The 13,135-nt window shown below is 48.8% G+C and overlaps 8 gene segments (V, D, J or C) and 1 further gene, besides 24 other annotated features; all 9 read right to left on the bottom strand.

Annotated features, from left to right (window-relative positions):
* Positions 1–13,135, bottom strand: part of TRB (T cell receptor beta locus) — a 514,277-nt gene that overhangs the window by 20,000 nt on the left and 481,142 nt on the right.
* TRBC1 (T cell receptor beta constant 1) lies at positions 147–1,594 on the bottom strand. The segment is given in 4 exon segments: positions 147–167; positions 490–596; positions 749–766; positions 1,208–1,594. Coding segments are annotated over 4 exon segments (533 nt in total), but the record flags the coding sequence as incomplete, so codon positions are not given.
* On the bottom strand, positions 4,248–4,300 carry TRBJ1-6 (T cell receptor beta joining 1-6). The segment is given in 1 exon segment: positions 4,248–4,300. A coding segment is annotated over 1 exon segment (53 nt), but the record flags the coding sequence as incomplete, so codon positions are not given.
* Positions 4,301–4,307: a recombination feature (J_heptamer).
* Positions 4,308–4,319: a recombination feature (J_spacer).
* Positions 4,320–4,328: a recombination feature (J_nonamer).
* On the bottom strand, positions 4,741–4,790 carry TRBJ1-5 (T cell receptor beta joining 1-5). The segment is given in 1 exon segment: positions 4,741–4,790. A coding segment is annotated over 1 exon segment (50 nt), but the record flags the coding sequence as incomplete, so codon positions are not given.
* Positions 4,791–4,797: a recombination feature (J_heptamer).
* Positions 4,798–4,809: a recombination feature (J_spacer).
* Positions 4,810–4,818: a recombination feature (J_nonamer).
* On the bottom strand, positions 5,013–5,063 carry TRBJ1-4 (T cell receptor beta joining 1-4). The segment is given in 1 exon segment: positions 5,013–5,063. A coding segment is annotated over 1 exon segment (51 nt), but the record flags the coding sequence as incomplete, so codon positions are not given.
* Positions 5,064–5,070: a recombination feature (J_heptamer).
* Positions 5,071–5,082: a recombination feature (J_spacer).
* Positions 5,083–5,091: a recombination feature (J_nonamer).
* TRBJ1-3 (T cell receptor beta joining 1-3) lies at positions 5,609–5,658 on the bottom strand. The segment is given in 1 exon segment: positions 5,609–5,658. A coding segment is annotated over 1 exon segment (50 nt), but the record flags the coding sequence as incomplete, so codon positions are not given.
* Positions 5,659–5,665: a recombination feature (J_heptamer).
* Positions 5,666–5,677: a recombination feature (J_spacer).
* Positions 5,678–5,686: a recombination feature (J_nonamer).
* On the bottom strand, positions 6,224–6,271 carry TRBJ1-2 (T cell receptor beta joining 1-2). The segment is given in 1 exon segment: positions 6,224–6,271. A coding segment is annotated over 1 exon segment (48 nt), but the record flags the coding sequence as incomplete, so codon positions are not given.
* Positions 6,272–6,278: a recombination feature (J_heptamer).
* Positions 6,279–6,290: a recombination feature (J_spacer).
* Positions 6,291–6,299: a recombination feature (J_nonamer).
* Positions 6,361–6,408, bottom strand: TRBJ1-1 (T cell receptor beta joining 1-1). The segment is given in 1 exon segment: positions 6,361–6,408. A coding segment is annotated over 1 exon segment (48 nt), but the record flags the coding sequence as incomplete, so codon positions are not given.
* Positions 6,409–6,415: a recombination feature (J_heptamer).
* Positions 6,416–6,427: a recombination feature (J_spacer).
* Positions 6,428–6,436: a recombination feature (J_nonamer).
* Positions 7,025–7,033: a recombination feature (3'D_nonamer).
* Positions 7,034–7,056: a recombination feature (3'D_spacer).
* Positions 7,057–7,063: a recombination feature (3'D_heptamer).
* TRBD1 (T cell receptor beta diversity 1) lies at positions 7,064–7,075 on the bottom strand. The segment is given in 1 exon segment: positions 7,064–7,075. A coding segment is annotated over 1 exon segment (12 nt), but the record flags the coding sequence as incomplete, so codon positions are not given.
* Positions 7,076–7,082: a recombination feature (5'D_heptamer).
* Positions 7,083–7,094: a recombination feature (5'D_spacer).
* Positions 7,095–7,103: a recombination feature (5'D_nonamer).

Genomic DNA, 13,135 nt, shown 5'->3' with positions numbered 1-13,135 from the left:
GAGTGTGCAGGTGTGCATGCACATAGGGGGATATCTATTGGGATGCAGAGAGGTGAGAGCAGCTCTTCAGAAGCGCTGGCAAAAGAAGAATGTGTATTGAAACCATGACGGGTTAGAAGCTCCTAACTCCACTTCCAGGGCTGCCTTCAGAAATCCTTTCTCTTGACCTGCAGAAGAGAAAGTTTTGGGGGTTATTAAGAGCCAGGAGTTGTGAGGATTGAGAGAAAGTAGTAGGGCCCATTGACCACACAAATAGTAAGGCTCATCACAACATCCATTGGGTTTTCTGGTGACTCCAGCTTCTCCTTCCCAGCATGACCCTTCCACTGTGATCCTACAGAGGTGCAAGTTATCTTCTGAGGCACCTGAATGAAATCTCTTCCCTCCCTACTGCCCAGCTCCAATCCTGGCAGGGACTCTATACTTCTGGGTGCTTGGTGTCAGTGTGTCACCTCCAGCCTGCTGGCCCCATCCTGCCCTCCTGCTTACCATGGCCATCAACACAAGGGCGCTGACCAGCACAGCATACAGGGTGGCCTTCCCTAGCAGGATCTCATAGAGGATGGTGGCAGACAGGACCCCTTGCTGGTAGGACACTGTTGGCACGGAGGAAGGACAGGTGGGTACCTGTGCACAGGTAGCTCTGGTCTCTCCCACCCTCCACCCTCCAGTGTCTGTGAGTTCTTCATGCCTTGGTTCTAGGTCAAGAACCATGAGAGAGGGAGAGGAAAAGGAAGGGCTTACTTACCCGAGGTAAAGCCACAGTCTGAAAGAAAGCAGGGAGAGGAAAATAAATGAGAGACCTTATTTTCATAGGCAATTAAAAGTAAAGTCAGATTTGCAGTTGGCACAGACTCCCAGGCCCAGACCAGCTTCCTCTGACAGCCCAGCACCTCCTTTCTTCTGCCATGCAGATGTCAGCCACATTGTCCTTGCAATCCATGGCATGTGGCAGCACTGAGGGGGCTGGGGGGCACCACCCAGATGAGAGTTACACAGGCCACATAGAAAGGGGACCCAGCTGCTTGGCTCTGTTGGGCTGAGAATCTGGGAGAAGAATGAACCACAGGTGCCCAATTCTCCTTCATGGTGTGCGCTGGTTCCTTTCTTTTTGGATCTAGTCTTGTCTGCTACCTGGATCTTTCCATTTTCCCTGGTAGCTGGTCTCACCTAATCTCCTCCAGGCATCTCCCCAGGCCCCACTCACCTGCTCTACCCCAGGCCTCGGCGCTGACGATCTGGGTGACGGGTTTGGCCCTATCCTGGGTCCACTCGTCATTCTCCGAGAGCCCGTAGAACTGGACTTGACAGCGGAAGTGGTTGCGGGGGTTCTGCCAGAAGGTGGCCGAGACCCTCAGGCGGCTGCTCAGGCAGTATCTGGAGTCATTGAGGGCGGGCTGCTCCTTGAGGGGCTGCGGGTCCGTGCTGACCCCACTGTGCACCTCCTTCCCATTCACCCACCAGCTCAGCTCCACGTGGTCAGGGAAGAAGCCTGTGGCCAGGCACACCAGTGTGGCCTTTTGGGTGTGGGAGATCTCTGCTTCTGATGGCTCAAACACAGCGACCTCGGGTGGGAACACCTTGTTCAGGTCCTCTGGAAAGGGAAGAGGGGTTGGAGCCAGGGTTGCTCTGAGAGCTGTCTGGTTCTGGTAGGGGCTCTGTGTGTGTGAGAGAGAGCCCTGGGAATGGGCCGTAATGAAGCACAACTATGTCATTCTAGGCCCTCATTGTTTTGGGGTCACCATCCCAGTGTCTGTTGCTCTCTCTCCACTTTGCCCCTCCTTTCTATGCTGTCCCATGGATGCACATTGCCTACTGTCTCCCCAGCTTCCTATGGTCACATTATATCCTGATTGTCTTGGCTGTTTTTACTGAGGCTTGTCTGATCATCTATCCAAATAATTTATCTGTGTATCTTTATTTTTCAAAGCCTTGCTTGGTGCATGGCTATGTAATCCTGAAACTCGAGGTAGGAAACTCTCATTAGTGGTATAATTACAATAACTAAATTGACTTTTTCTAATTATAATTTTCCTTTTTTAAATCAAGATGTATATATTTGTCTCGTGGGGTAGTGACACATATTAGAATTAGCTTTTCTTTTCTAGAAAAGACACTTTTCCATTACATCTGAGTCCCCCACCTGCCCAGCACCTTTTTAAAAAATTTTATTTTCTTGCATGTAACCCTCTTTAAAGAGCCAAACCTGGTCAATATCTGATGGGATGGTCCACATTTCCTCCTCCCCTGGGGCAGGAGGGTGTGGTAGCTTGTCCAGGATGGCTGAAATCCCATGGAAGTTGATGGTCATGGGATTAACCCTTTCTTCTCTCAGAGTGTCCAGCAACCCTGCCTGGCCAGGATTGGAATCCGTCCACAGTTAAGCTTTGCATTCTCAAAAGTAGTACAAGCTAGACCACTGAGTATGAATGAACCACAAAGTCCAAGGGCCATTTCAGTAGAAAGCTCACACTGCAGAGCTCTGGACCTTTTCACATGCTTGAGAGAGGAGAGAAAGAATTTCTGGGATTATTGGAAAGAATGATTTCATCTGAAGACACATGAGGAGTGGAAGAAACCACAATTTACTGTGCCCTTTGCTTGGCTCTGTTCCAACCATGAGAGTGAGCTTTTGGTGCAGAAATGTGGCAAGTCTAGATATGGGTTCTTTATCCAAATTTGGGAAATGTTTTTGATGGGAAAATTGAGATGCAGGTTTGGAAAAAGGCAAACCCTGTGACCTAGTGATCATAAACAACAGGAATGAAAAGGATTGTCACCACAAGTTGAGTCCTTTACAAAATCCTTTACAAAGGATTTTCATATAAGTTAGTCTCTTCTGTTTCTATGTCTTAGAGAGGAGGCAGCTTAAGTTGCTTTTCAAATTGCACACCTCCCCCACCACAGCCCCTTGAACCCAGGCCTTTGAATCTGGTGATTTGTACTTTCCACTCAACGTCTTGGTGTGTGTCCCCACCTACACTAATGTCTGCCCAAGCCCCTAAACTTTGGTAGACCCTATGAGTCCCATTCCTCCACCCTTGTCTATGTCTCCATCCTAGACCTCATCCCATCCCAACCCCGCTCCACCGCCTGTCTGCTTCCTCCCCAGCATGGGGAAGGTTGTACTAGGGCTTCCTGGTGGGGCCTTTACCCTATTGTTCTAGCATAGATTCTGAGGCTTAAGAGAATGGAGTCTTGGCTGGGTGCAGTGGCTCACATTTGTAATCCCAGCACTTTGGGAGGCCAAGGCAGGCGGATCACGAGGTCAGGAGTTTGAGAACAGCCCGGCTAACACAGTGAAACCCTATCTCTACTAAAAATGCAAAAAGTAGCTGGGTTTGGTGGCAGGCACCTGTAATCCCAGCTACTCGGGAGGCCAAGGGAGGAGAATCGCTCAAACCCAGGAGGCGGAGGTTGCAGTGAGCCGAGATCGTGCCACTGCACTCCAGCCTGGGCAATAGAGCTAGACACCGTCTCAGAAAAAAAGAAAATAGAGTCTCCTACCCATTTTGTCTTCTTTATACCTTATCTGTTGCTAAGATAATGTCAGTTTCCAGTTGTAACACTCTCTTCAGACCTATCTCCCAAACACCTGCCAAACACAGGCACCTCAGAGACTCCCTGCAGCTCGCCCAATGCTGTGACAGGGACTTCTGCCCTCAGGCCTCAAGAGCAACCCTGAAACCACCTGTCTCCCCAACCTGGTCATGCCTGGCTCATGAACCTTCAAACTACCTCAGGAAGACATAGATGCATCTTCTAAGACTGGTAGAGAAAGAAAGAAGGAGGGAGATGAAGACATGAGCAGAGTTCTGTGCTGGAGGCTGGCAGTGGGGAGAATCTTAACATAGAAGACAGAGCTAGTCACCAAAAGGAGTCAACAATGCAGAAGTGGAGTTAGAATGGGAAGGAAAAAATGGAGAAGATGCAATTTAAAAAAGGGAAAGTAAAACAATACATCCACTAAGAAAGTAGAGATGAGAAGAGTCCCAGAAAACAATGAAAAGAAGAGCAAAGAAACACACAGCCCTGAAGACTAAGCAAGGAGCTCTACAGCTGAGGAACTGCAGGCAACACAGCAGAGCAACAAGCTGGAAGAGCTCCAGGGAGGGGAGGAGAGGGCACAGTGCTCCAGGTAAGAAGGGGTGACCCTGACCTCCGTTCTTACACTCAATTCCCTTCCCAGCAACTGATCATTGCAGTCAAACCCAGGCACCCCCGAGTCAAGAGTGGAGCCCCCATACCTGTCACAGTGAGCCTGGTCCCATTCCCAAAGTGGAGGGGTGAATTATAGGAGCACAGCTGCAGAGGCTTAGATAAAACCCACCCGGCGATCTCCAGTCAGAGGGCAAGTCTTAGCTCCCTGACAGCAGGATGGCTGCCTTTCTCTGCCTGGATTCATGGCTCTGGACCAAAGGGATTCTGTTAGGAAAAAGGCCTAAGCATACTGTGCAGCATAAGGCGCAAGAGGAAGAGGCTTAGGAGAGGCAGAGCCATGCACATAAGAGGGAGGATGAGCCAAGAAGGGAGTGAGGAGGCAGATTATGGACTGAAGACTTAGAGAAGAGAAATAGAGGAGTCAACCAAGACACACCAAAGGGAACGCAGGCACAGGCACAGCTCTTACCCCATGGGGTAAGAGATTTTACTCAATCTGCCTCACCAGCACCGGGAGGAGAAGCAGAGAACTCTGCCTTCAAGGGACAATGGCCATACCACCCTGATTCTGCAACTTACCTAGGATGGAGAGTCGAGTCCCATCACCAAAATGCTGGGGCTGATTGCTACACAGTGCATCATGAGTGTGGCAAACCCCAGAGGAGCTGGTGTGGGCCCTTCCTTCCAGAAGCTGCTTACACACAGAACTCTTGGGGCCCCACCACACACTCCACTGACCCACATTTTATGAGCTTTTCTTGGCTGTGTTCTCAGTTTCTGCCCTCCCGCAAGGGGTCCTCCTGGAACTCCGACCTTATGATACACTATCCCGAAAGAAGTCTTTTACATACCCAAGACAGAGAGCTGGGTTCCACTGCCAAAAAACAGTTTTTCATTAGTTGCACAACATTAAAGACTGGAAGGAAAACCGCGACCTGCTGCCTTCCACTCCTGCCTCCCCAAGTCCACCTGCCAGGTCCTCTCCTGTTCCTTAGTAGAATTTTAACCCTGGTGGGTAGAGGGGTAGACAATGGTACAACCCAAAATGCGGTGGTCAGCAGACCAATTAGGCCCCGTGTGATCCCCCAAGTTCCCTCTTCTGTGACCTTCTCCTTTCTGTGTGAGGGAGAGAAACGGTAGGACCGTGGTGGTAAGGTCAGAGGCTCTTTTATCTGTCATGGCCGTGACCGGCACCCTTCAAGGAGACAGGAGATGTTCAAGGTGACCCCTTCCAAGCTGAGTCTACCCATCTCTCAGTAGGGGAACCTAACTTGGCACAGGCAGTCTACAAAATAGTGGAGAGGAGAGGGAGGCTATCCCCTCCTCATCTGCCTCATAGGCCTTCCTGACAAAAATACACTTTCACCTAAGCACTAGAGACAAAGGCTCCGTCTGGATTCCAGCCCCTTTTTGCAAGTTCCCAGCTGTCCAGCCTTGACTTACTCACCTACAACAGTGAGCCAACTTCCCTCTCCAAAATATATGGTGTTTCCAGAGCACAGCCTCCCAGGGCCACTTCAAAACCCCCCAGTCTCTGCTGAGCACAGCTGGGATTCAGGCAGAGGTTGGGAGTTCATGGGAACTCTTCCCTCACAGGGACAGCAGCTCTGCTTCCAGTACTCTGTGTTCCCTTCCAGAGCTTGCCCAAGACTCAGGCAGGTGACAAAAAGAGACACAGAGTGGCCTCCTATAAAATCCAGCACAGGAATATACGAAGAATCTACAGAGAACCTCTGTCAGTGAAGCAGATAGATGGAGAGGTGTTGTGGCTCATTCATTACCCACCGGGCTTTCTCTGGGCTATCTCAGGGAACTATGAGGAGAGGCCCCCTCCCCTTCCCTCTTCTGCCCCATCACCCTGGGCTCAGCTGTGACTGCTCAGAGCCTCTGGGAAGCCTGGGTGGATTCGCCCTCACAGGGAGCCTCCCCTGAACTCAATCCCGGGACATGACATGACGTCTCCCTCAGTCTGGCTCCGGGAGCTGGGATCTCTGTTCTCTTTGACATTTCCCAGGACAGAGTCCTCCCTCATCGCACCCCTCCTAGAGACCCCCAGCCTTACCTACAACGGTTAACCTGGTCCCCGAACCGAAGGTGTAGCCATAGTTAGCACATAAGAATATAGCCACTCTAAAAGGGACACTGTGGACCCACTTTTCCCTGTGACGGATCTGCAAAAGAACCTGAAAAATGTCTTACCTACAACTGTGAGTCTGGTGCCTTGTCCAAAGAAAGCTTCAGTGTTCACACAGTGACAGGGGTCAAGGTGAAAATCACATTGAAGGCATAGAGAGGGGAGAGGGCCCTGGCTAGGATGGAGGACAGTGAGCTAAGAAATCTCCTCCTGTGCTTTATGGGTATTACACAGAAGAACACTTTGACTTTTGCTTTTTAGGACCATGGAGAATGACAGAGTCCATCCACAGGGTCCTAGGTTCCTTTTTCAAAGGATGCCCCATTCAGATGCTCCCTCTGTGAGGGTCCATCGAAAGGGAAAGTGCATGGCCTGCAGAGGATGGCAGGGGCCCAGAACCTGTGACTCCATCTATAGATACCCCTGACTTCTTCCCGAGTCCTCTGGAGAGCTGGTCACCTCCGATGAACCTTCCACCTGACTTTGTCTCAATTTTTGGGGATTGGGACCCTCCCTGAGTCCTCCACTTGTGAGGTTCCTGAGGCAGTCTTCTTATGTCTGACCTCTCTCTGCCTGGGAAGCTTTAGTTCTCATCTGGGCCTGTCCTTGTCCACAGTCTTGGTCTGACATGTGATCAGGAGTGAGGCAGAGGCATTCTGAACCAAATTGCATTAAGACCTGTGACCCAGGAGGAAAGAAGAGGACTCTGGGAGTTGGGACCGCCAGAGAGGTTTTTGTAAAGGTTTCCCGTAGAGTTGAATCATTGTGGCCCCCTGTCCCCACAATGTTACAGCTTTGTACAAAAACAGCCCCTCCCATGGGTCCGCCCCCAGAGCCTGGGAGAGACCACCAGAGCAGCTGCTCCTTTGAGGGGAGTGGAGGGTGGGTGACATCACCCCCCATTATGCAAGTTGGTGGTGGGGTATGGACCAGGCCGGGGGCTTCCTTCTCACCTCCAGGCACTGTCCTCAGGATGTTTTGAGCTCCTTAGAGCTGGATGTCTTTGTAAGGCTGTTTGGCGAAGGGGCTGGTCTTCTCCAGTACCCACCCCTCTCCAAGCTGTTGTCACGTTGGGGCATGTCCTTATAGAGAAGCCACAGCCCCCATCACTACCCTGGCCCTGCCCCGAGGCTGTGCGTCACTCGGAGGGTTTTAAGCTATGACTTAAAATCCAGAAAAAAAAAAAAAAAAGACAAACAACGACATAATGATGACACACTCGCATGGTAAAATATAAACAGAATCAAAATATACATAACAATCTGGGAAAAATATTCCTAGTTCTCACCATCAGGGCTAATCTCCTCAACATGTGGTGAACTCCTAAAAATCAATAGGAAAATAATCCAGCAGCCCAATAAAAATAGGTGAAGAGTAAATTGTTCAGAGAAAAATAAATCCAAATGGTACCTAACTATAAGGGAAAAAAAATCACAATAAGAAAAATAAAATTAAAAAAACTTCATCAAAATACACTTTTCACTAATTTGACTGACAAAATTGAATTATATGCCCATCAGTAAGGGACTGGATAAACTGTGATATGTTCACACAATGGAGTAATATTCAATGCTAAAAAAAGAATCAAAATATTTTATATTGCTATGGAAAATTCTCTAAGATACATTATTAACCCAGAAAAGAGAAAGTCTCAGAATAGCATAACTAGATGCCACCTTTGTCTAACAGAGGGGGGAAAAGAAGAATTATACTTTTGTATTTACTTGATTTTGTATACATTTTGTATACAGAAACACTGTAAAGATACAACAGAAACTGACAAGAGTGATGACCTATTAAGAATGAGTGGAGTAGGCCACGTGCGGTGGCTCACCCCTGTAATCTCAGCACTTTGGAAGGCCAAGGCAGGCAGATCACCTGAGGCCAGGAGTTCGAGACCAGCCTGACCAACACAGCAAAACCCCATCTTCACTGAAAGTACAAAAAAAAAAAAAAAAAAAAATTAGCTGGGCGTGGTGGCAGGTGACTATAATCCCAGCTACTTGAGAGGCTGCTGAGGTAGAAGAATCACTTGAACCCAGGAGGCGGAGGTTCCAGTGAGCCAAGATCACGCCACTGTACTCCAGCCTGGGCGACACGGTGAGACTCTATCAAAACAAAAAAAAAAAAAAAAAAAAAAAAAAAGAAAAGAAAGAATGGGTGGAGTAGACAGAAACAGAGCGGAAGTAAAAGTTACATTTCCCAGTGTCAACGTTACTGGGTTGTTTCCATTTTAGAGTCATATAGCTCTATTGTCTATTGAAAGTCAAACTTAAGTTAATTTTAAAAATCAAGAAAATTTGGCTTTAAATAAAATATGCTACTTTAAAAACCTACTTGTTTAATTTACAAAGTCATTTTTTTTGCCAAAGAAGTTTATGTGTGAAGTTATGTATGAAGTTATGTAGAATTTATGTAAGAAGTTGTTTCCTTGTCCTGAATTTGCTCAGTGAGGACTTAATCACTTGGACAACTGTGAAAAATGTAGATTTCTGAGTAGTCTTCATGACCTATTGAGTTAAAATCTCCAAGACTGAGTTTACTTATTTATTTATTTAAATAAACAAACAGAAAATTACCCTGGGCGTTTCTGTTACAATGCCAGGCTTGGGACCCACAGCTTGTCCCCAACTAGAACAGGGCAGAGGTAAGCCATGGTGAACATCAGAGGGTAGTCTAGGACTGCCATAAGTTTGGTGCCAGGGCATGGCCCTTAGAACTTAGGGAAGAAAGAAAAAGAGGATTTGGTATATTCACGGCATTAATAGTGATGGACCTCGCAACATGCTACCAAATGCCTGCATAAAAAGTTGATTGCAGCCAGGTGCAGTGGCTCACGCCTGTAATCTCAGCACTTTGGGAGGCCGAGGAGGGCGAATCATGAGGTCAGGAGTTCGAGACCATCCTGGCTAACACGGTGAAACCCTGTCTCTACTAAAAATACAAAAAAATTAGCCGGGCATGGTGGTGTGCGCCTGTAGTCCCAGCTACTCGGGAGGCTGAGGGAGGAGAATCGCTTGAACCCATGAGGTGGAGGTTGCAGTGAGCCGAGATTGAGTCACTGCACTCCAGCCTGGGCGACAGAGTGAGACTCTGTCAAAAAAAAAAAAAAAAAAAAGTTGATTGCTTTCATCCATTGGATTGTGTCAAAGCCTCTTGCCAGTACCTTTCCTAATTGAAATATTCAGTTTATTTTGATCTATTTCTGCATGTTTTCCTGCCTTACTCACCTCGTTTACTTATCAATAATTCATCCTCTAAGTTAGTGTCTTTTAATCACCTAGTGGGGGCCCTCATCCCTACTGGCCTTATAAATAATAATGCCACTCTGTCTTGGCATCATGGTTTTTTAGAATTCCGATGGAGTTTGTCCCAGTTTTGCCTCTCTGGACGGTATGCCCAAGCTCATATGCAGCGTTTTTTCCATAAAAGCTAGGAAGACCAGTTAGGCAGGTATCAGGTTGGGGTCATGCATCCATGTGGGCAGCAGGGGGCAGCCTTTCCTTATTTTTTTAGACCTAAGTAACTGCAATCTGAGCTCGGCCACTTGAGGGGGCGAGAAGAATGCGCAGCTCGTGGTGGGGCGAGGACGCGGAAGGGAGCAGGGTTACTCCTGCGCCTCTGTGTCGGGGGCGGGTGGGAGACCGGGAGACACGCAAAGAGCATTTCACGTGTGCAATTCTTGAAAGCTTTCCAGCATGTTCATTTCAACCTAAATTCCTTGTTCTCAGTTGAGGAACTGAAACCCCAAGAGGCTAAAATGAGTTGCCCAATGACAGAGAAGCACCGCGCCCCCAAGACTCCTTAAATTCAGGAGATGCCGCCACATCCTGCCCTTCCGTGAAACCGACCTCCTGTGGCCAGACTGCCGGGCTCCCAGCAGCCCCGTAGCGTGGCTAAACCTCTTAAACTCTGTCTCTTTATCTGTAAGCTAGGAGCAATAATAATACCTACCTCATGGGGTTGTGAGAATTGCATGCGATAGTGCGTGTCGGGGTTAATCATGGTGCCAGAAGAGTCAGTAAAAATGTTAGTGACTGAAGCCGGGCGCGGTGGCTCACGTCTGTAATCCCAGCACTTTGGGAGGCGGACGCGGGTGGATCACCTGAGGTCAGGAGTTCGAGACCAGCCTGGCTAACATGGTGAAACCCTGTCTCTACTAAAAATACAAAAAATTAGCCGGGCGTGGTGGCGCTTGCCTGTAATCCCAGCTACTTGGGAGGCTGAGGCAGGAGAATAGCTTGAACCCGGGAGGCGGAGGTTGCAGTGAGCCGAGATCGCACCATTGCACTCCAGCCTGGCGACAGAGAGAGACTCTGTCTCAAAAACAAAACAAAAACAAAAACAAACAAAAAATAGTGACTTGTTTTCAGAGAGATATCGTAACTGCCCAATAGGTTCACCTTGCCTGCTGTATAGACAGAACCGATTTATCAAGACAGGGGAATTGACATAGAGAAAGAGTAATTCACCCAGAGCAGACTGTGTGGGAGACTGGAGTTTTACTATTACTCAAATCAAATCTTGCCGTCTCCCCGGGAATTCGAGGATCCGAGTTTTAGAGGATAATTTGGTGGGCGGAGGGGAAAGCAGTGAGTCGGGAGTGCTGATCCGTTGGGTTGGAGATGAAACCCCAGCTGCTTTCTTGTGCTGAGTCGGTTCCTGAGTGGGGGCCACAAGATCAGATGAACTAGTTTATCGATCTGCGTTGTGCCAGCTGATGCATCAAGTGCAGGGTCTTTAAAATATCTCAAGCACTGATCTTAGGTTTTACAATAGTGACGTTATCCCCAGGAGCAATTTGGGGAGGTTTGGAATCTTGCAGACTCCAGCTACGTGACTCCTAAACCATAATTTCTAATCTTTTGGCAAATTTGTTAGTCCTATAAGACAGTCTAGTCTCCAGGCAAAAAGGAGGTTTGTTTTGGGCAAGGACTGTTACCGTCTTTGTTTCAAACTAGAAACTAAGTTCTTCCCAAAGTTAGTTCAGCCTATGCTGGGGAAGGAATAAGGACAGCTTGGAGGTTAAAAGCAAGATGGAGGCCAGGCGCGGTTGTTCACGCCCATAATCCCAGTACTTTGGTAGGCAGAGGCAGGTGGATCATGAGGTCAGGAGTTTGAGACCAGCCCGGCCAACATGGTGAAACCCCGCCTCTACTAAAATACAAAAAATTAGCCAGGCATGGTGGTGTGCACCTGTAGTTCCAGCTACTGGGGAGGCTGAGGCAGGGGAATCACTTGAACCTGGGAGGTGGAGGTAGCAGTGAGCCAAGATCGAGCCACTGCACTCCAGCCTGGCAACAGATTGAGACTCCGGCTCCAAAAAAAAAAAAAAAAAACAAAACCAAAAACAAAAAAAACCGCAAGATAGAGTTGGTTGGGTCAGATCTGTTTCACTGTCTCAGTTACAATTTTGCAATGGCGGTTTCAATACTGGCCTAAGGATGTCATTACCGTATCCAATCTCAAGTTTTCAGCGGGCATCAGAAGACCTGGAAGATATGTTAAAATGCAGGTTGCTGTCTGGGTGTGGTGGCTCACGCCTGTAATCCCAGCACCTTGGGAGGCAAAGGGGCAGGCGATCACTTTAGCCTAGGAGTTTGAGACCAGCCTGAGCGACATATGAGGTTGCCATCTCTACAAATAATAATAATATTAGCTGGGTTTGTGGTGTGCGCCTGTGGTCCTAGCTACTTGGGAGGCTGAGGTGGGAGGATCACTTGAGCTTGGGAGGTCAAGGCTGCAGTGAGCAGTGATCATGCCATTGCACTTCAGCCTGGGCAACAGAGCAAGACCCTATCTCAAATAAAAAAATATGCTGTTTGTTGGGCCCTGTCCCAGGAGATCTGACTCGGTGGGTGTGGGGTAGGGCCTAGCTTTTGTGTTTCTCCTAAATTCCCAGGAGATTTTGGTGTTGCTGGCTTAGGGACCACTCTTTGAGAATCATTCTTCTGGAAGGGTCTTTCTTTTCTCAGCACATTTCCCTCCACTCCATGTTTATTCCTCCACTCACTGGGTGCTTATTACATCCCAGGCTTTGCTTAATCACTGGAGATATCAGGATATGTAAGACAAGATGTACCCGCTTGAGGAGCACACAGTTGATTGCCAGGATGGACGCATCTATTGCACCTGAGCACCTGAGCAGGACTAGGACAGAGGCAAGCGGAGACAGGAGGAGGATGGCTGCCTCAGACCCGAGGGAGGGCCAGCAGAGCCAGACCCAAGGGAGGTGGGGACAAGGAAGAATCAGGAAGACTTTTCTGAAAAGGGTGAAGGGGAGGTTAGGAACGGCTTCCAGTCTGAGAGTGCCATAGTGTCCAGAGACAGAGGCAGGAGGCGCATGGCTTGTTGGATGGGCCACCAGGGCTTCTGAGCAGGGGAGGGGACAGGGGAGGAGAGCAGTGAAGAGGCATGAGACTGGGAGTGGGGGCAAGGGTGGTGCCAGGAGAACCCTACATTTCCCCAGGGAGCTTGAATTCTAGTTTGATCACTGTGGGAGGGTAGGGAGCAATGCCATAACCAGGAGCTCTCTGAGAGCAGTCGTCTTGCCGCATGGAATGGGACAATTGGGAGGTGCCCCTCAGGAGATGCAGGGAGGAAGGGAATGGGTGATAGTGACAGGGGGCTGGAGAAACATCAGAGGTCAGCGCTGACGGACTTGTCATCACCTCAGACCACAGTCATAGCGGGATGTGAGGCGGGGCACAGAGAGCGTGGGCTTTGAAGCCAGGCAAATGAGGAGTCAACCCCAGACCTACCATCTGCTGGGCTTGGGACGTGGGTAAACTAATAAGCCTCTTTGAACCTGTTTTCTTATCTGTACCGCTGGATTAATAA

The sequence above is a fragment of the Homo sapiens genome, chromosome 7 (genome assembly GCF_000001405.40).
Source record: "Homo sapiens chromosome 7, GRCh38.p14 Primary Assembly".
Lineage (NCBI taxonomy): Eukaryota > Metazoa > Chordata > Mammalia > Primates > Hominidae > Homo > Homo sapiens.
Note: the sequence above shows the minus strand (reverse complement) of the source record. Positions and strands in the feature narration are given on the sequence as shown.